Source organism: Homo sapiens, chromosome 2, assembly GCF_000001405.40.
Source record: "Homo sapiens chromosome 2, GRCh38.p14 Primary Assembly".
Lineage (NCBI taxonomy): Eukaryota > Metazoa > Chordata > Mammalia > Primates > Hominidae > Homo > Homo sapiens.
Genome location: NC_000002.12, coordinates 162160414 through 162184062, shown reverse-complemented (window position 1 = coordinate 162184062; position 23649 = coordinate 162160414). Strand labels below are relative to the sequence as shown.

At 37.5% G+C, this 23649-nt stretch overlaps 1 protein-coding gene and 1 long non-coding RNA gene across 4 annotated transcripts in view; one reads left to right on the top strand and one right to left on the bottom strand.

Annotated features, from left to right (window-relative positions):
• The window catches only part of FAP (fibroblast activation protein alpha), a 72762-nt gene extending 59383 nt beyond the window's left edge, over positions 1–13379 (top strand). For all 3 annotated transcript variants that reach the window (NM_001291807.3, NM_004460.5, XM_011510796.4), the window contains 6 exons: positions 595–649; positions 9097–9196; positions 10276–10340; positions 10842–10914; positions 11179–11252; positions 12983–13379. In NM_001291807.3, the coding sequence (NP_001278736.1) occupies positions 595–649; positions 9097–9196; positions 10276–10340; positions 10842–10914; positions 11179–11252; positions 12983–13084 (469 nt within the window). In that variant the 3' untranslated portion in view covers positions 13085–13379. The remainder of the gene's footprint in view (positions 1–594; positions 650–9096; positions 9197–10275; positions 10341–10841; positions 10915–11178; positions 11253–12982) is intronic.
• The window catches only part of LOC101929532 (uncharacterized), a 58299-nt gene continuing 45973 nt past the window's right edge, over positions 11324–23649 (bottom strand). Inside the window, exons 2-4 of the long non-coding RNA NR_110255.1 lie at positions 22162–22293; positions 20972–21073; positions 11324–14606 (exon numbers count right to left, since the gene is read on the bottom strand). This is a non-coding gene — a long non-coding RNA (uncharacterized LOC101929532). The remainder of the gene's footprint in view (positions 14607–20971; positions 21074–22161; positions 22294–23649) is intronic.

Genomic DNA, 23649 nt, shown 5'->3' with positions numbered 1-23649 from the left:
GATTTATTTTCAAAATAGTTTTCAAATGGATGCTCTTCTGTGATGGAGCTAAAAAGGAATTATTTCCATATTAATTAATGATGAATTGAGGATGCCTAAGTATGAAATGGAAGACGGTTGTATATTTCTCTCAAATGTCTCTGAAAATGAAGTGATGATTATCATTAACAACAATGTGATAAGAAATTAATATAATTTAAAGCAGCAAGAACAAAATCCTTCTTTCCGATAGCTGGGGATTTGGAAACTTGGTCCTGCTCAATGCTGCTGCTACTTCTTGTGTCACTATGAACCCATCTTTTGGCCTCTCTGAGTCTCAGGTACACCCCCACGATTAGACTACAAGGCCTTATACCGCTCTGACATTACCAGTCAATAACTGTACAACAGAGTCTAAGGGAATCCTTTTATCTCTTTGCAGAAAACATGATAATATTATTTTAATTATTTGTAAATGCAGGCTTATTATGCATGTGTTTAAACAAAGAAAATGTAGCGTTTCTATTAAATCTTTGGATTAAATATGGTTGTGTAATGAAGTAAATGTCATGTGTATACACTTAACATTCTAAAAATTTGTTTCTTTTACTTTAGAAAATTCATAGAAATGGGTTTCATTGATGAAAAAAGAATAGCCATATGGGGCTGGGTGAGTTGTTTTATATTTTTTATGCCTGTTATTCAGTTCAGCAATCATCATTTTCTGAAGTGTTCGTTTAGAAGGTTTCTCATGAAATGTTAATGTTGCAACATAATTTAATCTGTCAATGGAAACAGTCAGTTTGGATAATCTGGGCTTCAAAATGGTGGTTTTAAGTGTTTGTTCCTTTTTTTCAATCTTTTCTTCCCTGTACAGTAAGTTAACTCATAATTGACATATTTTTACTTAAGTCTTTGTTACTAGATTATAGCATACTGAACTGAACCATATCCGTCAGAGGGTGAATTGCCTTTGTTATTTTAAAGTTAAATATATACCTTTTATTTTATATTTCTATTTTATAAAAATTGGAGCTACAATTTGAAATCACAGGGACTTTCAGAATATAAATTCCTTAGTACCTAGCCTAGCAGTCATATCTTAGCTGTTTAATTTTGTTTCTTTTTATTTGGCAATCAAATTATTTTAGTAGACCGAATGTTCGTTTGTGCTAACTGGAGAAAAGTACTATTTAGTTTCCTAATTATAGGTCATGGAGATAACTTCTCACACTTGAGGAGCTATTTTGAAAATACACATTTAAAGAAAGTGGCAAAACTTATCGTTTATGGGCAATGAAGTCACTGGAAAGTTTAGAGAAATATTGGAAAGAGTTGAGATTTGCCCATTATAAATTATGATAATTACCCTTCAAAGAAGATTTCCTGTTTCACTTTTTGGTCTGAATTTGTACATTTGCAAGTCAATTTGCAGCCATTTGTGCCTGGGTTGTTTTTCTTGGCTGTTTTCTCTGAGAGCGGCCTGCACGAGAAGAAGGGAATGAAACCCAATATTGAAGGGAATCTGCAAGATTCAGCTCCACTCAGCTCAGTGACCAGATGAAGAGCTGTTAGGAATTTGAAGAAAGTTGTTACTTCAAGCCATTTGGTCCTTCTTAAAACTATCAAATGTTAAATATCTAAACAGAATGAAATTCAAATGAGTAGAAATAAATGAAATATTTCTATAGTGAAATATTCCAGATAATACCTTCCCTATCATCCATTTTTATAAAGTTTCCTAAAGCAAATCCTTGAAAGATTCTAATTTTAAGTTGAACATGTACATGTAATCATTAACATTTCTCTTAGAGTTGGACTTTGCTTTTGCTGCAGGCTTTGAAATAACCATAAAGTAGAACTTTTTATTTTATTTATAGAACATTCTAGGTATTAGTTTGGTAGAAAACCATCTACGTGGGATGATTTTCTAAAAACCCACTCATCACCCAAAAATACATCCCTATCAGCCTGAAATTCTTCAATAATAGATTCTCACCACATCTAGTTGGGCAAATGCCACTGAAATAGTACATTAGAACCCCCACCCGTCAATTGCTTACTTTCCAACATGGTAATGACTGTGAGGTCGACTCAGAGCAAATTTGAGCAAAGAAAGTAAGAAATGGGCTGCCACGTGATATAACATCTGAGCAGAAGGAACTAGTATGTGGATAAAGACATTAATACTATACTGGGTTTTAAAATCAGCTCTTCAGGTTTAAGATGCTTATTAATCCATCTGTCTAATCACTGACTTGTTCATTCTTTCATCTACATAGTACATTTTCTACAAGGTCTTGTACTAGGTTCCTTAGGGGATGAAAAGATGAGTAAGTCGTAGTCCTGGCCCTCTTGTGGGGGAAACAGACAACAAAATAAGCAATGGCTCAGCAATCTTCCAAGTGTTAAGAGAGATGCAACTCGCTGTGGAGTACAGGGGGACAAGAGTGGATAATTATGGCTGTGGGAGCTAAGGGAGGATTCCAAAATAAGTTAGCATTTGAGATTGGTGAAGATAGCTGAGGAACGGAGCATTCCAGGCAGAGTGAAAACCACATTGCCCAGGACCTGAGTTAAAGAGCATGGTGCACACAGGGAGACTGAGCTGGCCAGGGATGCCTGAAACTTCAAAAGTCTAAAGTATCTTGAGGAAAGTATAGAAAATGAGTCTGAATAAGCAAGTATACAGATAATAGTCTTTAGGCCACCTAAAGGAGAGGGATTTGTGCATGCCTGTGACACCTTTCTCTTCATTCTTCTGTGCCTCTATGATTGTTACACCTTTTTTATTTTTTTTCTTTTTTGAGACAGAATTGCTCTCTGTTGCCCAGGCTGGAGTGCAGTGGTACGATCTCGGCTCACTGCAACCTCTGCCTCCCAGGTTCAAGCGATTCTCCCGCCTCAGCCTCCTGAGTAGCTGGGATTACAGGCACATCCCACCACGCCTGGCTAATATTCCTTTTTTCGTTTTTGAGACAAGATTTTGTCATGTTGCCCAGGCTGGTCTCAAACCCCTAGGCTCAAGCAATTCACTTACCTCAGCCTCCCAAAATGCTGGGATTACAGGCATGAGCTACCGCATCCGGCCTCCATTTATTATTTAAGTATTGGTGTTTTTCTGGGTCTGGATCTCGCCTTGACCCTCATTAGTCTTCCTTTCCTTCGGCAAACCCTTGTGGTGTCAAAGATGATGATGACTTCCAGATCCCTGGCACCAGCACACACCTCTCTTCTGTGCTCCATGTTTCAAATGCCTGCTGATCATCTCTCCCACATGTCTCACATGGACCTCAAACTTAACTTACGCCTAAGGTAAACTTGTTAAAGCCTATTTTAAAACAAGTCTTAATCTTCATTAAGGCTTCTCCACACACTTATTCACCCAAATTCGAAATCTGAGAGCTGTTTTCAACCTCCCCCTGTTCCTGTTCCTGACTTCAACATTCCATTGATTAGTAAGTTCTGTCAATTCTACCTTTAAACATCAAAGTCTGTTCTCATCATCCCTACTGACACTGCCTTAGTTTGAGTTTCTCCATTTGTAATTTAAGCCAGAAATTCTCAAACTTTAGCTTGCACAAACATCACCTGGAGAGCTTGTTAAGACACCAGAGATTCTGAGTCTGTGCTTCTGGGGTGGGGCCTGAGAGTGCATTTCCAACAAGACCCCAGGTAATGCTGATGTTTGGGTCCATGGACCACAGGTTTCGCACTTCAATTTATTCTAATTGCTTCTTACCTGTCCTCCTGCTTTGGCTTCACAAGCTCCAATGTGGTTAATGAAGTTATCGTTCCAAAACAATTTTTACTGTGTGGCTTTTCTGCTTATGTATTTTATAGGACTCTGCATTGCCTGCAACACAAAGCCCAGATACCTTTCCTGGCATGCAAGGCCTTTGGCAGTCTGACTCCAGCTTAGTTTTCCAATCTCATCTCTTGCCACTTCTCCCTGTACCTTAAGTAATTTAAATTATGGCCAGGAGTGGTGCCTCATGCCTGTAATCCCAGTACTTTGTGAGACCGAGGCAGGCAGATCACGAGGTCAGGAGTTCGAGACCAGCCTGACCAACATGACGAAACCCCGTCTCTACTAAAAATACAAAACTTAGCCAGGCATGGTGGCATGTGCCTGTAATCCCAGCTACTCAGGAAGCTGAGGCAGGAGAATTGCTTGAACCCGGGAGGTAGAGGTTGCAGTAAGCTGAGATTGCACCATTGTACTCCAGCCTGGGCAACAGAGCGAGACTCCATCTCAAAAAAAAAAAAAATATATATATATATATATATATAGATAGATAGATAGATAGATAGATAGATAGATCTGTGCTTCCTTGTTCCCATGTTTTGTACATGCTATTTCTCGCATCTGCAATGTCCATTCTCTTCTTCCATTCCCCACCTTTTCCTCACTCCCAAATGGATAACTCACACTTGCTCTTTAAGATTCAACTTACATATTATTTTCTTTGTGCTCCAGTAGCTCTTTGCATTTCTCTTATAGGAATTACCATGTTGTGTCTTGTCTGTCTGTTAGTTTCTCTCATAAGAATGTAAGTTCATCAAAGGAATGGACTGTGTCTCATTTTAGCTTTGTTTCTGAGCCCAAAGCTAGAATTGTGTTTGTTTAGCACAATGCTTGGCCACAGCAAGCATCTATGATGTTGTTTAAACTGACTTTAATCCTATAAATCAATGTCTCCCCTCAAATGTGTCCCACTAGTACCAGGAGATTTTTCAGGAAAATGTCCTATAGTCTAATAATTTGGCAAATCACAAATTCTATGTAATAGTGTATATAGGCTCTAGAAAGACTAGCAAAAAAAAAAAAAAAAAAACCTGTCAAGTTTTGTTTAACACAGTATTACCAAAAAGTATTTGATTCCACAATTCCTTATTCCTCCACCATCCCAGAACACATATTGACAATGTTTTCTATGGACATCAATTTTTAAAGTGCTCTTGAAGTCAATAGGGCAAGGTATTGGTGTCTTAGAAAGATAATCTTGGCTGCAAAGTGGAGGATAATCTGAGATTTGGGGAGAGGATGGGCCAAGGGGCTAGGAGAGTAGTAATACCAGGGACAGATATCAAAGGCCTGAATTAGTCAGTGAAGTAGCAGTTGGAAGAGGTCATATCTGTGTGTGCTCTTATACAATATAATAAGCAGGGACCTGTGGGAAATTGGAGATGGAAAAGAGAAAGACATTGAAAATTACCATGAGGTTTACTTAGCTCTTATTGCGTTTTGTATTAGGGAAGAATATATGTGTTTCCATGAAGTATTAGACAGTATAGGAGTTTGGGAAATACATCGCACCCAACAAAATTTTTTGGAGTCAATTGGTCAATAAGCTCCAAATCCCACATTACTCTCCATTATCGAGTTCAAGAAATGGGGAATAAACCCTTTTATCTTCCCCTTTCATTTTCTGGCTCACATAAAACAAAGCCCACTAGCCCTGGTTTTAGTCCCTTGATAAATATTCACTATGTGCCCACCACAGTGCCTAAGAAGTATCAGTTTATGGCAGTGGTTGTTAACCGGGCGATTTTGCTCCTTGGGACATTTGACAACGTCTGGAGGCATTTTTAATTGTCACGCTGGGGGAGTGCTACTGGCATCTAGTGGGTAGAGGCCAGGGATGCTGTTAAACATCCTGTGATACATAGGACAGCCCCCTATAACAAAGAATTATCCATCCCAAACTGTCAATAGTGTCAGAGTTGCAAAACCCTGATATGCAATGAAAACTCAACACAATTATTCTGACAATTGAAGAGCAGCGAGGGTTTTGCTTAAATTATTAGAATAACAGCCTCATTTCTGGGCTTCGCTTTGTTAATATAGGCCTAGCCAGGTGGTGTTGAATAAGCATTAGTTCATGATTTAATCTTAGTTCCTTTCTCTCCCAGTGACTAATTATAAGTAATTTGAATTGCTATGTGTGATCAACGATGTAAAAGTAGGACAAATGCACCTCTAATGAGACTATATTAGACTCTGAACTTACAGTTTCCCCGAAAGAGGTTGCCCTAAGTATAGGGATACAGAGGAAGGGGCATGGGTTGCTGAGACAAGTGTCCTGAGTTTGAGTCCCAGCTCTGCTGCTTACTGACTCCATAGCCACTATAAGTTTACTCTGAGCCTCAGTTTCCTCATTGTGAAATGCAGCAATAATTTCCTCACCAAGACACCGTGAGGATTGCACAAAGTAATAGCAAAGTCATATACTCAACAAATATTTATTCTATTCCTATTGTGTGTCAGGCCATATTTTCAGTGCTGGGCTACATTCATTGACAGGACAGACAAAAATATCTACCCTTATGGAGTTGGGAATGGTTGGAGAGAAAGACAATAAACAAGATAAATAAGTAAAATATAGAGAGTGTTAAATGACGTTAAGCGCTATGGAAAAAGACAAAACAAGAAAGAGGAATGGTGCAAGTTGGTACAATTTTAAATCAGAATGGCAAAGAAGGCTCATTTGAGATGACATTTGACTTTGAAGAGGAGAGGAAGTGAGGCATGCCAGTGTCTGTGGAAAGAGCATTCCAGGCAGAAGGTCACAGCATTTGCAAACGTCCTGAGGCCAGATCATGCTTGGAGAGTTCAAAGAACGTCAAGAGAGCCAGTGAGCAAGGGGAAGAGAAAGGAAGGGGAGAAGTGAGGTGGGAGAATGGAGACAGATTGTGTGAGACCATAAAGGCCATTGCAATAACCCTGACCACATAAATGTTAGCTAGTTATTATTATTGCCTATAGGTAAAATGTTCCAGTGTGCATTATGCCTCAAATAAGAGTGTTTCGTAAACCCTCCTTCAAAATCCTGTGCCCTTCTAAGAATGTTTTTAAAGATATCCCTCATTTAAACAAAATGGCAAGGCGTCTAAGTGCAAAGGACAAAATTCCAGAATTCTCATGGCCAATCTGCTCTGTGGGTTCTTTTCTTGCAACAGCCACCCACTCTGCCTGGGAGCCCCACTCATGGAGGGGGGGCAGGAAAAAGTCAACTCGGGTTTTCTTTTTTCCCCCTCTTCATTTCTACAATAGGAATAGCTTTTCCAAGCTGCCCGAGAATTTAAAGTACACCTTCTTTTGTTGTGCTGCTGATACAGTCGCTTTTGCTCTTACAAATTCCCAGAGAAAATTTATATTCATTCTGAAAACAGGAAAGCTTTATTTAAATACAACACTATCACCCAATGACTGAATAGATACAGATTAATAATTCCTAAGATTTTTAGCAGAAATATTCAAAAACCTTTTCATGATATACAAAGGCTTTTATTTTAATGTCAAGTCTCACTTTATTTCCTTCTCTGGGGCATAGGAAAGGAGAAGCAGGACCCAGTATTTTTACTTGCAGTAAACACACTTTGCCAATAAAACCATAAATGATAATAATTTTTTTCTAAAGGTCTCTGGCTTACTCTGCTCTCATTTGAACTTGAAATTCAGAAGGAAGGAAAGCCTTCCCATTTCAGCAGGAGTTGCTGCAAACCTGCTAATCAAAATAAGTCATTTTTTTAAATTATAAGTGAAAGTTTAAACCAGACAGAGAATTTTCACTTGCAATAAGGATTTTCAAACCCAAATGTATCTTCTGTTTTTAAAATATACTTTTTCCCTATTAAAACATGGTTCAGTTCTCCTCCAAGTATAATAAAAAGAGGCCATGGTACAATCTGAGCCCCCTCTTTTATTCTGTGTTTTGTAGCTAAAGGTCTTCAATAAAATACCCCAGAGCTAAAAACAAAGAACTGTAAATTAGTTTGAGAATTCTTCATTTAACTGTTAGATTCAGCAAGATTATTTAGCTGATTCTCCCATTCCATGCATTTCATGAATTAAAAATAGACCTCTGCCACTGACCTATTACCAGCACCATGTCTGTCTACCTCTCTCTCTCTCTCTTTCTCACACTGTCACTCATTCTCCCTGTCTAAAGAATGACTTTCTCTGGTAAAGATGATATGATCTATCCTGATCTGAGGGAAGTGATTCCCAGAAATCTGTGGTCATAAGGTCCTAAAAACATGGTATGGCTTTAGCTGGAGAGTCACACTGTCCCCTTATGATTTTTAGGGACGTTCTTGCATCAGGGCAAGAATAAACACAGAGAGTCACTTCCTAATCTAGTGCACACATTTTTTTTTGGTCCATGTCCCAGACAACTGCTTAGTCCACGTTCCCAGGAGAAGCACCTCTCTCACAGCATGTTTGTACAGACCAAACTTGCTTCTCACGAGGCAGTGCAACCTTATTTGGATGCCCTGTTCATTTCTTCATATTTAAGAAAAGGTTCAAATTTCCATGTGACATGGGCAGAGATCTCTTTCTCTTAACAGGATCCCATTTCTGAATCACCTCTTGATTCCTTGGAGAAGAAAATCTATGAGAGCTAAACTTACTCCTGACTCTGCAAATTGCATCCTGTTTTGTATTTATTTCCTTTTCCTTAAATTTGCAGGAAGAAATATAAGGTTTTTAAAGACACCAATGACTTTTCCTCCTTTGAGCTGCTATGTCAGAAATCCTTAGAACATGTACCACTACAACATACACAAACTATGGCCATGTCTTAAATTATCCAAAAAGTTCTTATGGCCTTCCTTTGGTATTCTGTTGTGAAAATAAATAAGTAAATACAAAGATACATGTTCTGCCTCACAGAACTTTTGCAAACTGCGAGGATGTATCTTACATTTAAATTTTGGTAATTTTTTTTCTGTGCATCTCTTTCAAGTAAAATCTTGTTTTTGTTCCAGCATGGTCCTAGTTGGAAAGATATAGAGAAAAAAATGAGAATTTTTTTTTTGCAAAAGAAAATTGAAATTCTGTCTATCTCTTAAACTGCTCCTACCATGTTTTAAGAGGGTCTGTTCTGATCAGCACACCAAGTATTTCTAATGAATTAGGGAAGAAATTACCATTATGTCTGGTCATTTATCTGAAGCTTGCTGCCGAGGATGCAAGATAGACATGTAATCCACCCTTAGCCATATTCTCCAGCTCCCTTCAGTCCGGATTGTGAGTAGAGTTGCTATAAACATATGGAGGAAAGCTTATGAAAGTAAATCTGAGTCTGACTCATAACAATGTCTCTACAGTCCTATGGAGGATACGTTTCATCACTGGCCCTTGCATCTGGAACTGGTCTTTTCAAATGTGGTATAGCAGTGGCTCCAGTCTCCAGCTGGGAATATTACGGTATGGAAACATTCATTAATGTTACTGTGAAAGCATTTAACACGTAATTACTCTATATCTGATGTTGCTAGAAAAATGGATTATGCAGTAAAATTCACCCCAGCATCACTGGGGAAAATATAATTTATAAACAAAGTTGTTTATATCATTTATTATAAACATGTTGTAACAATCAATGAAATCTCAAGAGTGAGGAAAGGCTCATCCATAATCCACTATATCTTATTTTCTCCCAGAAACCTTGAGCCCCTGCCGAACCAAATCTTTAAAATCAGAGCTAACTCTGTTTTTGCAGGCACACAGCTACAGCATAATTGGCTTTTAAGCACATCTTCAGCACGGTCAGGCCAGAGGCCAAGCAGTTCACCTCCACGCCACAGTTAGCAATTGCCAGTTCCATTGCTCCAGAAATCAAAGAAACAAAAACTTTGTTGGAGAAATACTCCTGTTTGTGCCTATTTTTATCATTACATCAATGCAGGATGATTATTTGGAAGGAATTCTAATAATTATACAAAATAACTCTAATAATTTTACAAAAATTAGCTTCATCAGATTCTCTCCTCTATATTGGGGCAGAAATAAAACAATTGTGACTTGTAGGGGATCTTGATTAAGAAAAAAAGTGTGTGCATCTATGTACGTGTGTAGGGGGAATAGATTTGAGGGACATATTTTCATCCCAGATGAAATAAGACACCAGTAAAAGTCCTAAAGATGGCTGGATTTGTGATTTTCTTTAAAATATATTGAGACCATTCTACAGGTCATTCCTACTTCAACATTCTTCCCTAGGAGGGTAGAAGTGAAAAATATTAAGAATAGTCATAGAAAGAAAATGTTTAGATGCTCCTGTTTCCATAATCTCTTCCTTCATACTTCTCTAGCTCTATTGAGGCTAATTGCAGAGATGACACATATTCTTTGAGGCCAACCATTATAGCAAAGTAAAGCAAGAATTTACCTCAAGAGCTCAAGATGGGAAAATTGAGAAACAGTTATTAAACTAGAAGGTCTTGTTGGTTAATGAAATGACATTCATCACATGCAAACAATGCATATTCTCATATATTTTATAGCGTCTGTCTACACAGAGAGATTCATGGGTCTCCCAACAAAGGATGATAATCTTGAGCACTATAAGGTAAGTGTTTCCATTTTATTTAGGTTAATAATTAATTTCTAATATGCTAAATAACTTAAAAGCAGTAGTTCAGAATTTACAGTTTTAATTCTGGGCCCCCAAGCAAATATCATCTTTTGTTAATTGCAAAACACATCACTAGAAAGGGTTTTACTCCTTTTGGATTCTGTTCTTTCTTTTCCCATCCTCCCTTCCCTAACCTCTCTTTTCCCAATCTTCCTCCCCACCCCCAACCCCTACACAGCTTGAGCGGGCATCATTTATGCCTAAGGTCTCACTCATATGTAACATATGACACATAAACTTTCAGTTTTTCAAACTAAGAATCAGATGGAAGTAATGCAAATGATGATGAAAATGTGTTGCTCTGACTCTTAAATATTTATCAAGCAAAGCAATACATAATTTCAGTATTGGTGCTAAGTCCATTGCACAATGATTTAGCTAGTTTTCTATTAGAACTTGCAGCAACTAAAATGTTAATTTTTTTCTCTTTTCCAGAATTCAACTGTGATGGCAAGAGCAGAATATTTCAGAAATGTAGACTATCTTCTCATCCACGGAACAGCAGATGGTGAGGTTTAAGCAAGACTCTTACACATAAAAATACTGAGCCAGCATCACTTTGTTTAAGAAACATTAAGCATCCTCCTATGCCTATGCTCAGGGTCAGTACCTAAGAGTCAGGGACATTTCCATATCTGAGTGTGATTACTCACTGCTGACAATGTCAAATGCATGACTAGATAATTGTTGGTGTTCATTTCCAGGCAGTACATTGTCACTCTATGCTTTCTGGTATTTAGCAGCACTTTAACTCTCTCTCTCTTTGTTGCAGATAATGTGCACTTTCAAAACTCAGCACAGATTGCTAAAGCTCTGGTTAATGCACAAGTGGATTTCCAGGCAATGGTACATAATTTTGTTTTACTCATGTTCATGGCCTTAGACCCTCAAGCTAAAAGGAGGGGTTCATATTTTTATTTTTTTTAACTTTTAAAGTAAAATCTGACAAAGAGGCTGCAGGATAGAGTAGGCAGAACATTAGCAAATGAATCTTGGATCTTTCTTTAACTACTGAAGGACCCGAGGCAAACCAGATCACCTCTCGTGTTCCCAGTTGAGTCATGTAAAATAAAGGAGTTCACAAGATTAAATGATCTTCTAGTTCAAACATCCAGTAGTTCTGAAATCCTATGTGAATAAGTGCAATTATATGCTTAGAGTCCCTGCAAAACCTGAGCATCCTTAAACAGCTAGAAGATTCTGTTTGTTCAGTAAGAAGCAGTTGCAGAATGTCATCACAAACCTCCAAGGCTCCCTGAAATCATATGGCTCCATTTGTGGTTAGAGAACTTTTCACCTATGTATTCTCATCCCCTGGCATACACCTGGCTTATCACAGATGCTCAGCTTCTTACTGAGTGAATGAATGAATTAGCTAAATGTAAAATCCAGGTTGCTTGAGGAATGAGAAATTGAACCAGAAAAGAAAATAAAGTGAAAGCCAAAGTTGGGGGCGGGGCAGCATTCTTGGTAGCTACCTTTTCCTCTCACAAATGCTCCCTCAATTGCTTAAGTTGAACAAGAACCCCGAAAAGGAGACCCCCATCTTTTCAACATTTGTTTTTAAAAAATGTACTGACTGGGAAAGAAATGGGGGAGGGGGTATAAGAAGAAGTTGGTTAAGGGGTACAAAAGACAGAAAAAAATAAGTTCTAGTATTTGAAAGTACAGTAGGGAAATTATGGTCAATGATAATTGATTGTATAATTCAAAATAGCTGGAAGAGAATAATTATAATTTTCCCAACATAAAAGGAAATTTGTTTGAGGTGATGGGTATTTCAGTTATCTTGATTTGATCATTACACATTGTATTCAGCTATCAAAATATCACTGTACCCCCAAAAAGATACACAACTATTATATATCAAATTTTTAAAAATATACAAAGAGGGAGGTGAGCTTTTTCTGACCTTTTTTATTGTGATCCCCAAAGTAAATTCAACTTAGTAAATATATATTATTACATCGTGACCACTGATACCTTTATTCAGTGAAAGCAATAATCTTAGTGGTATCTCTCCAAGAGTGAAGTTTAAAGTTAAAATACTATCTTTCACTTTTTAAAAATGCTATTTTTAACTCCTATAAAGGGTGTTTATGGCTATATATGAATACATTATATTGTGGATTTTCTGCAACAGAGAGGAATTAGATTCACAGGCTGAAAGCCTCATGGAATTTTTGAGCTACAAGGAATCTTAGGGAAAATCAACTCCAACCCCTTTGTTTTTCAAATGAAGAAACCAGACTCCAAAGAAGCAAAATTAACAGACCCAGTGCATCACTTCTGGCAACTCTGATGCCTGATCCTGATCTTCCAGGATGCTGGATGATGCGAGATCTCAGCCACTGAGATCTAAAATATGTTTAAAGCATGTGAAACAGTAGTGGAGGTTAACGAAAGCTCTTCCTGCTGTAAATATTTACATGTAAGCTATTTTACTTATTTGAGTGTTCTTAGGTACAGTTTCCCCATAATAGAAAGATTATCAGGTCCTGAGAGCACAAAAAAGTCCAAGCTAAATGCATTTGATGACTGCAGGAATAAAACAAGCTTTTTTCTTTGTGTTTCAGTGGTACTCTGACCAGAACCACGGCTTATCCGGCCTGTCCACGAACCACTTATACACCCACATGACCCACTTCCTAAAGCAGTGTTTCTCTTTGTCAGACTAAAAACGATGCAGATGCAAGCCTGTATCAGAATCTGAAAACCTTATATAAACCCCTCAGACAGTTTGCTTATTTTATTTTTTATGTTGTAAAATGCTAGTATAAACAAACAAATTAATGTTGTTCTAAAGGCTGTTAAAAAAAAGATGAGGACTCAGAAGTTCAAGCTAAATATTGTTTACATTTTCTGGTACTCTGTGAAAGAAGAGAAAAGGGAGTCATGCATTTTGCTTTGGACACAGTGTTTTATCACCTGTTCATTTGAAGAAAAATAATAAAGTCAGAAGTTCAAGTGCTATTGTGTTGTCTGTATTCATTGATTTCAGGTTCCAGGTTTTATCACAGAAAGAGGTGTTTGTGCAAAGCAAGTGCATGAATAACATTAGGGTGGTCATGGAGGAGAAGAATCTAGAAGTGGTTTTGGATTTCTGTCATGAGAACTCCAAATACTGGAACCAACAGCTCAGAGTAGGCAAAAGCATTGTTCAGAAAATGCAAGTGAATCACGTTTGAGATGTTTGCACTCTATGCTGTCCCTCCAAGAAATGTTTATTACATTTCTCCCAGAAGATTTCTTCAACATTGCCAAAAGCATTTGATAAAGATAAAGTCAGACTTTTGAATTCAGACTCCTTTTAAAAAAATGCTTCTAATTTGGAAGTGTTCCTATTTTGAATCCATTTTTAGAATTAGTAATGGTAACTGCTTTCAGATTGCTAACCCATAACCAAATCAAACCAAACAAAAATAAATAAGTAAATAAAATGACATCAATAGCTAGAGAGGAAAATTTTATATCTATGAGGTTTTTCTGGGGTCTTAGTTCTACATTATAAAGTTCATATTGAAAAAAATAGCTGTAATGCCTACAGTCCTAAAGCAATGCATTGCCAGTTACTACCACCTTCAGTTAGAAACTACTGGTGACCTGCCATCTCTGTGATTGCCTCAGAATTAAAAGATCCATACCAGGTCACCAGAAGATATTTACTGAATGAATGTTGGTGGAAGTATCCACCACACTGCTGTCTAAGGGACTTTTCATTGTGTAATCCCCAGCACTGGATTGCCCTGGGTAATTTCTCCCCATCCCTAGCTTGATACCTTCTTTCCAGGTGCAGGTTGAATCCCCTCATGACTTATACCCAGAAGAACCAATCCTGGCCTGGAACATTACAGCAGGAAGACCACAGAGAGCACAAATGCAGTCTTCTCTAGAGTTTTCTGACTTTTTCCAATCCAGCATTGTTTCCACTTCAGCTTTCTGAAACCATTGCCCCTAACTCAGGCCACATAGCTCCACCTCACACATCAGGAAGGGATGTTCTGTGGTGGTCAGGAATTCTGGACAACACCTTCCCAGATTCAGGACTGGCCACAGCCCCTCTTTTCTTCCTCCATGCAATGGCTGTTGCCCTGAGGACCAGAGTAAGCTACCACCTTCTCTCTCTGTTCTGCACACAGCAGCCTCTGAAGCAAGCCCAAGAGATTTTCTCATAGTTTTCTCATCATTCACTCTCTCCACCTAGGGAGAGAAAAATAACCAGTCATTTTCTAATACTTTATCTAGGGATACCACAGGGTCATTACAAATAGAAAGAACAAAAATCTTATTTCTCCAACTTATTTTCTGCCTTTGTGACATTTGCAAAACTGGATTCTAATATTGATCTGCAGTAAGTTGTCTCCAGCCTCAGGCCTTTGCTCCCACTGCCACAGAGGGAACTGCTGAGACAAAACTAATAGTGTCATTTTCCCACTTAGAACCCTTCGATGATTCTCCGTTGCCTAAAAAATAATATTCAAAATCAGCATGACAGAGAGAGCCCTTGACGATCCGTCCCCATGCATATTTTCCAAACCCTTTTCCTGACACCAGCTTCTATAGACCCTTAGATTAAAATTAGATAAAATTACAATTCAGCTCTTCAGTCCTACTTGCCACATTTCTCTGCTCAGTAGCCACATGGTTAGTCAGCACCATATTGGACAATGTCGATGTAGAACATTTTCATCATCACAGAAAGTGCTGCTGAACACACTAGTGCTACCTTAGAGAAAATCTTCCTAATGCTACCCTAGAGAAATCTTCACCACCCTTGTCTTGGAATGTGGCATATCACAGAAATTCACCAATTGTTGAATTAATGAATACCTTTGTGTTCATGGAAGATTCAGGTTTTCTACATTACTGTTGATGAAGCCTTCCCTGACCCCCTCAGGTAGAATTTCCCAGGTCTTCCTCAAAACTGTAAATATGTTTTCAGTTATTTATTCATTCATTCATTCAACAAACATTTACTGAGTCTGATTGTATATCAAACACTGTGCAAGACTTTGAGGATGTAGTAAGAGCAAGGCAGCAACTTGCATGGCAGTTTTTTAAGTGTTCACCTTTCATAAAGCTTTATTAGATTCTTATTTTGTCTAGAAAGATAAAAGGTACATGAAGTACAAAAGGGAGAGATTTTAAGTAGAAAATGCCAAGCTAAAAGAAAGATTTAAAAATATCTTGCCTTTTCTATCTTTAGGAAGCTGGAGTATAATAATAATTATCATTTACCACATTTTATTATTGGATATGAGACATGGAAAAGGGGGTATCCCAATAGCCTAATTAAAGCTGCAAAGTATAATTATCCTTCACACATGACAAACAAGATTTTCATTCATTCATTCACTCATTCAGTGACTGCAATTGCAAGCCACTATTTTAGGTACTGTAGGTAAGACCTCCCCTCAAAAAAAGTCTAGTGTAAGAGGGAAGCCATAAAACAATTAATTTCTAAACATTATTTCAAATTTTAGTCCCACACGGCTGGCCTGAGAGCTATTTTTAAAGGTTTCAAAATTCTAGATGACCATCAAATATTTCTTAGAGTAAATAAGAAAAAAAGCAGCAAGCAAATGAGTATTTGGTTAAATTTAACACAAATGAGAGAACTTTTATTGGAGTTTAAAAATTTTTTTTTAAAACCTACCCTTATTTATAAAATGCATTATTTATTTCCTTAAGAAAACATTTATTGAATACCTATGCTGTGCACAGTAGTATTCTGGGTACTGGAGGGGTTACAACGATGAATATATATGACAATTTCTCCATTTCTAGACTGTATCAGTAAAGGCGACTTAACGAATCTGATTTTCCCAACATTTGAGCATTTTTCAGAAACTGACAGATCTTTATGCAAATGTTGTTGCCAAGCTGTTTGTAATGGTGAAATTATACTTTGACAGTAACTCTTTAAAATATATTAAACCCAGCTAAGGTTTTTTTGGAAATGTTGCCAATTAAGTGACTTTAATGAGCTTCTTGATGGTAATGTAATTAAAATTCAGATGTTCTAATTGTAAAAAAAAAAATAGTTCTGGGAAAGTTAACAGTAAAATAAGCAAATGTAAAATGAATTGGGGCTAATTTAAATGGTGATAATGTGGTCTTCTGAGAAGATTCTACCAAAACAATGCTTTCAATTATGCTGTTTGTAAAGAAGAAAGGAGGCACCTAACAGAGATTTTGAATTTATCCAATAAAGCAGATATTTTGAGTTTATCCAATAAGACAGATTGAAAAATTCTGAACACAGTAAATCATTCTCAGTCTGTGAAGGGGAACTGCTAAAACACTTCCTTGGCATTATGGACAGGTACTTTGGCAATTCTAAGTGGAATAATTTTTAATTCAGGAAGAAATAAGTGCTTAGACCTTACCAAGCTATTCATGGGGAAAACGATCTGGCTTCTAGCATAAGCCTCTAATGACCACCTGCTCAGATTACTGGCATGCAATACTAACATGCTGGTCATAAACACTTCTTTTGACACACAGGTAACATCTTTGGCAAGCTAAAACAGTCTGATTTTATTCCATTGGTTTCTAATTAATACTCCATTTTTACTTACTTAAAACATTGTATTGACGTATATATTTTAACAGATACTCGTTGGTATAGCATTCCATCTTTTGCTCTGTGGTTATAGAGAATCAGTATTGTGTGAACAAGAGAGAGGTACAATCAAGGTAAGGTCATGCCACAATGGCTTGACAACTCATCTTCCCTCTTTCATATTTACTGTTTGTTGACAAGCAAAGATAGGAACATCTTTGTTAGTCACTCATTTTTAGGGCCAGGAACTTTTGTCACTGCTACAGAAGGTGAATTTTTGAAATAAGTGTCGTAATGAAACAGTAGAATATTAAGAAGCGATTTGTATGTTAAAAAAACTACTACCCATTTGCAAAATTAAGCTTGTTATTGAAACATCCTTTTAGATATCTATGAAAACAACAGAACATTTTAGATATGTGATAAAATTTCCTTATACGCCACTGATACTACACTATATTTCCAAATTTGAGAAATGATCATTAAAAAGTGAAGATGCTTTAATATATAAAATGCTTTGTACATACACAGGAAACAATGCTGCTCTCTAATTTCTTTCAGAAGATTAAAGCAATACTTTGCAATGTTATAAATTTCTTTCTTTCAAATGAAATACAACATAGCTCACTTGTCAATCTTGTAAACAGAACATGTTCACTACAGCTCATTTTAGGGGCAGCACTGTAGTGGGTAAAGGAATGGAGGTTAAAGTGAAACTATCTGGTTTGAATCCCAGTTCAGTAATATATAAGCTATGCAACTTTGATAAATTTTCATAAGTTATCTCTGTTTCAGTTTCCTTATATGTGAAATTGAGATAATAACAGTTCTTACCCCATGGAATTGATTGTTGTTTTAAAGTAGTTATCACTTGTAGAGCAGTGTCTGACACAGTCTTTTGTAGCTGTTTGTTAGATGCATAAAATGAACTACTTTTTAATGGTTTTTTCAATAAACTAATTCTCAAGAAATTAATAGCCTCAGTCGGAAGCCAATAGTTTCTTTCCCATATCATGGAATGTAGTATAAGTGTCCTCGATCATTTATACATGAGTCTTTATTTCTAAAACAAGGTGGCCTTTTAGGAATAACCAATATTGAAGTCGTGCATGTCCAAGGAAGTTCATCTTCCTTGGTACTTATCTTAAATGAGTTGTTCATCCTTGTGTCTCACTCAACACCTGTCTAAGGAGTCTAATATTTGATAGCAGTGATTGAAACACCTTTGAGAAAGACAAACTGCCAGGGCAATGTGTAGTTGAAGGACATGGGCAGTAAATTTACCCACCTTCCTGTGAAGCCTGCAAAGCACCACAGTGGCCGTCCTCTCTGGCCCTGTCTCCACCGCTCTCTCATCACCTATCAAACTACAGCCACCCTGGTCTCATCTGTGGATTTTGTGTAGGCCAAACTTATTTCTGTGCCAGGGTCTGGAACATCTTTTCTCAGCTTTTCACTTGGCTGTCTCCTCATTTGGTTTCAGCTCAGGTGTCATTGCCTCAGAGGGAATTTCCCTGATCATTGGATTTCACATTGCTTCTGCCACAGCCAGAGACTTCCAACCACATTATTTAATCTTGTTTCCTTGATAGCACTTAGAAGCATCAGAAATTCTTTGATTTACGTTTGTGTTGGTTGTTCCCTATTTCTCCCATTCAAGTACAAGCTCCCTCTGAGCAGAGAGCTTGTCTATTTTTTTTCACCTCTCTGCCTCCAGGATCTAGACAGTACCTAGAATAATGTAGGAGGACCTCAATCAATATTTGCTGAATGTATCCTCACATTCTGTGGATGAGAGAGCCCATGAAACTGGAATCCTGATGTGTAATCTGGCAGTGGGTACAGATCATGCCCTTTCTGAAACTTAGTATATAATAGGAACTTGCTGTTGTCCTCCTCAAAGCAAAGAGAAAGAAAAATCCCTGAGCAGCAGGTGTCCCGGTCAGGAGAATAAGGTTAGGGAGGACAAGAATTTTAGCCAGAGATCTAAAAGAAGTTTGTCTTTGAAACAAAAATAATTTGGATTAGGAAATGGAAACACAGCCTACTTCACTGTCCTAACTTAGATACTTGCTGCCTCTAGATGAATCACCACCGGGACACTGCAGGCTGAGGAAGTTTGGCACAAATGTTCAGGCTGGAAAATGACAAATAAATATCTGGAATGTGATTGATTACTCTAGCAGCTTTTATTTTAAAAACAACACTAGTTTTTAAAAATACATTTTGCTTAATAAGTATGTTTCAAGTAGTAGTGGTTTCTTTTACATTATAAAACAAGGATACCCATGCTTATTCTGTTTCTGTCTCCTGATCAGATTATATGTTCAAACCCTGAAAGTTTGGTTGGTTGGTTTGGTTGGTTCTTTTAAATTCAGATTGTATTGTAAACTTGGACTCATGAAAAATAAATCAGTGAAATATCTCTTGTCAAGGCTGTGCATTTTAGATCATATTTTTTAGTTGATCATTCAACATGGGTGAACTGAACTTCCTAGTATCCCATTGATGCAACTGAATGTAGTCCTGTGCACCTGCAAAGTTGCCAAACAGATTCAAGAGAACTGAGTTCTAATTCTTGTAATTCGGGCAAGCACCTTCTCTTCCTGAGATTCAATTACTCCCTGCATGCCACAGGTACTAGGCTAGATCCTTGGCTTTCAAATCACATTTGCAAGCCCTAAGAATTCTTCTGTGTCCCTTTAGGGCATAGTGCAACGCAATTCCTGATCCTTAAATCATCTTCCACAATTGGAGGCCTGTAGGTTAAATAATAGGAGTCAATCCTGTGTTTTCATTTACTATTTTCTCCCCTGGATCTCAACATCTGCTGGGATTACAGTGGTTTCTCTCAATATGGAGGTCTCATGGATCTCTTTTGAGGCCAGATTTATGGGGTTGGTGTGGGAAATATTTGGTTGGATGGCAACCATAGATCCCTTAGAAACACTGAGGTTGAAGTGTTGTCTCTAACTATTTAGGCAGTAAAAGTGAGGGCAGGGACCCATCATGGCACCTTGTTTGATGGTCATATGATAAAAGTTTATTTTATTTTATTTTATTGTATTGTATTGTATTGTATTTTATTTTATTTTATTTTATTTTATTGAGACAGAGTTTTGCTGTCATCACCCAGGCTGGAGTGCAATGGCATGATCTCGGCTCACTGCAACCTCCACCTCCCAGGTTCAATCGATTCTCCTGCCTCAGCCTCCCAAGTAGCTGGGATTGCAGGTGCCCACCACGACGCCCAGCTAATTTTTGTATTTTTAGTAGAGACAGGGTTTCACCATGTTGCACAGGCTGGTCTCGAATCTTGACCTCAAGTGATTCACCTGCCTCGGCCTCCAAAGTGCTGGAATTACAGGAGTGAGTCACCATGCCCGGAAATAACATTTTCAAAGGGATTGCCATCACCATCACCATCCAACATCTTATTTCATAAAACGTATTTTATATGAGTTAAATTTATAGCTGAAGATCTTGCATTGGATAAATGTAACAGGAGTCTTAGAGTAGAGTTCCCAATCTCAAGAACCACTGAGTCCAGGCAGGTGATCAGAACGAATGAAGCAAACCAAGAAACGGGTCAAGGAGATTCCTGGTAAAATAAGGCTGGGACTCTAATGAGCTGGTGACTGCACTAAAGGGATAACAACTACTGGCTCAAACTGCTGCCACTGGAAATATGGTGTTGCCAGACATTGTGATTTTTGTCAAGAGAAACCGGAAAACTGGATTTTTAAATGGAAATTCCCTCTTAATTTTGAACCCTTGACCACTAATTTATGAGTAAAGGAAACTCATCTGGATGCCAGATTTGGGCTGTGTGTATCAATTTCTATTTTAAGGAATAATTTGATTGCTTTCTTTTGGATGTGAATTGTATACCAGGTGCTCCGTATATATTCTTCCATTTAATTTTTGAAACTCTGTAAATTAGAAATTAAAATATATGTATTTCTGACTAGGAAAATGAGGTTTAAGTTATAGTACTCACCCAAGATTCCATATATCCAGGTCAATTCAATTACTCCCTGCATGCCAACTGAATTGGCATACAGTTTCTGTACCACAGTGGCAGTGACTCTTCTCAGGTATTCTAGAAGAAATATGTGGAATGCCTTTTCAGATAGGTTTGTTACCTATTAATGTCACTAATCAAATAATGAATATATAATGGAGTATAAGTAAACACAACCCTAATAGCAGGCCCTTATAAGCCATTATTAGAATTCAAGTACACATAATGAAGTCACCATTAAGTGACTGCTAAACAAACATTTGAAGGTTGCTTTTGAAGCTGAAGTTTTGTGCCTCCCTCTGTAACTTAATAACTTCTACAGGGTCTACATCTTGTTTCTGGCCCCAGCAAAATTGTGTGTATGTCCAGACAAGCCAATCAATATGGAAATCCAGTTCATGACTGAACTCTAAATGGCGTTGGCTTTCCAGTCTTCCCATGGACTCTCCTCCACTTGTTGCTGCTGCTTCTTGATGTCTTCTCACCAATGTCACCCCTGCACTGTGTCTTCCCACACTTGCTCTCCTGCCAGCTTCCACACCATGACCGTGGAACTACAGATGGGGCAGGGTGGTGGGGGACACTTGCAAGATATCACATAGGGATGGTCCCCAAATTGGCATTGAGTGTGTCATGCCAGCTGCACCCAGGCTGCCAAAGCAGAGGCTCCAGAAATAAGGAACAACGAGTGTGTAAACCTGAGGCTTTATTCCTCTAGACTAAGTCTTTAGAAGAACAAAAAATTACAATTTAGAAGATTACCGGTAAAATGTCTTTTATGGCCAGGCACAGTGGCTCATGCCTGTAATCCCAGCACTTTGGGAAGCTAAGGCAGGTGGATCACTTGAGATCAGGAGTTCAAGACCAGCCTGGCCAACATGGTGAAACCCCATCTCCACTAAAAAAAAAAACAACAAAAACTAGCCGGGCATGGTGGCGCATGCCTGTAATCCCAGCTACTCGGGAGACTGAGGCAGGAGAATCACTTGAACCTGGGAGGTGGAGGTTGTAGTAAGCTGAGATCACGCCATTGCACTCCAGCCTGGGCCACAGAGCGAGACTCTGTCTTAAAAAACAAAAACAAAAACAAAGCCTTTTATGTCTCCCCCCCCCACATTTTTAGTTACTGGCTATCAATTTATGGTTTCAGAGAGTCACACACGTACCTCCAGGTTGCAAAAGAACTTCCAACATATCCGGAGTACTTTCACTATTTACTTTTTCAAGTTACAGTATCAGGAGTCATAAAATATTGTTGACATAATCTTCTTTGATGAAGAAGCCGTGCTCAGTGAAACCTGCTAGAGGAAATCCTACTATCAGTTTCTTGATGTACACTTAGAGCCTTCTGCATGTGTTTTTCTCTTAACAAAAATTAGGAATCTATCACTATCAAAGTATTAAAATTTTATAATAAACTTTATAAATAGCAACTCAATATTCAAATCATCCTTGTGTCATATTTTCCAGAAAGAAAGTAAAGTCATGGAAACTATGAGTGTAATTATTAAAATTTATAATTTATTGAAATGAATAATTTTTATCATTAAAATTTATCATTAAATTACATAATTTATCATTAAAATACATACATATTTACATATATACAAATATAAACTTATTCGTAGGGTTCTGTATCCAGAATATATTAAAAACACATACAATTCAACAATAAGAAAACAGACAGCACAATTTCAAAATGGGCAAAGGATTTGAAGAGACATCTCTCCAAAGAAAACATACAAATGTCCAACAAGCACATGAAAAGATGCTCAGCATCCTTGGTCATGAGGATAATACCAATCAAAACCACAATGAGGTACAACTTTATGCCAACAAAAATGGCTATAACAATTCCAGAAAAAAACAAAAAATAAATATTGGCAAGAATGTGGAGAAACTGGAACTCTTGTGCATCGCAGGTGGGAATGTAAAATGCTTCAGCCACTGTGGGAAACACTTTAGCAGCTCCTTAAAAAGTTAAACATAGAATTACCATATAACTCAGCAGTTCCACTCCTACATATATATATATATATATATATATATATATATATATATATATATACTTAAAAGAATTGAAAAGAAGTACTCAAACAAATGCATGTACAAACATGTTCACAGCAGTATTATTCACCATAGTCAAAGAGCGGAAATAGCCCAAATGTCCGTCAATGGGTGAATGGATGAACAAATTGTAGTATATACATACAGCAGAATATTATTGCACCATGAAAGTAATGACGTACTGACATGTACTACCACATGGATGAATCTCTAATGCATTGACCCAAAAACCTACCGTATGATTCAATTTACGTGACATGTTCAGAACACGTAAATCCATAGAGACAGAGTTCAAAGTAGTGGTTGCCACTGGGTGTGGGGAGAGAGATGTGAGGAGAAACTTCTTACTGAATATGGGTTTTTATTTTGAAATTATGGAATTGTTTTGGTACCTAATAGAGGTGGTGGTTGCACACATAAATGTACTAAATGTCACTTAATTGTTCACTTTAAAAGGATTTATTTTATTATGTAAATGTCACCTCAATAATTTTTTAAAAAATGCTTTTAAAAATTTTATTGGTAATAATTTTCAGAATAAATAATCCATAATAATTATTGCATTATCCCTAGATCGTAGGAATAAT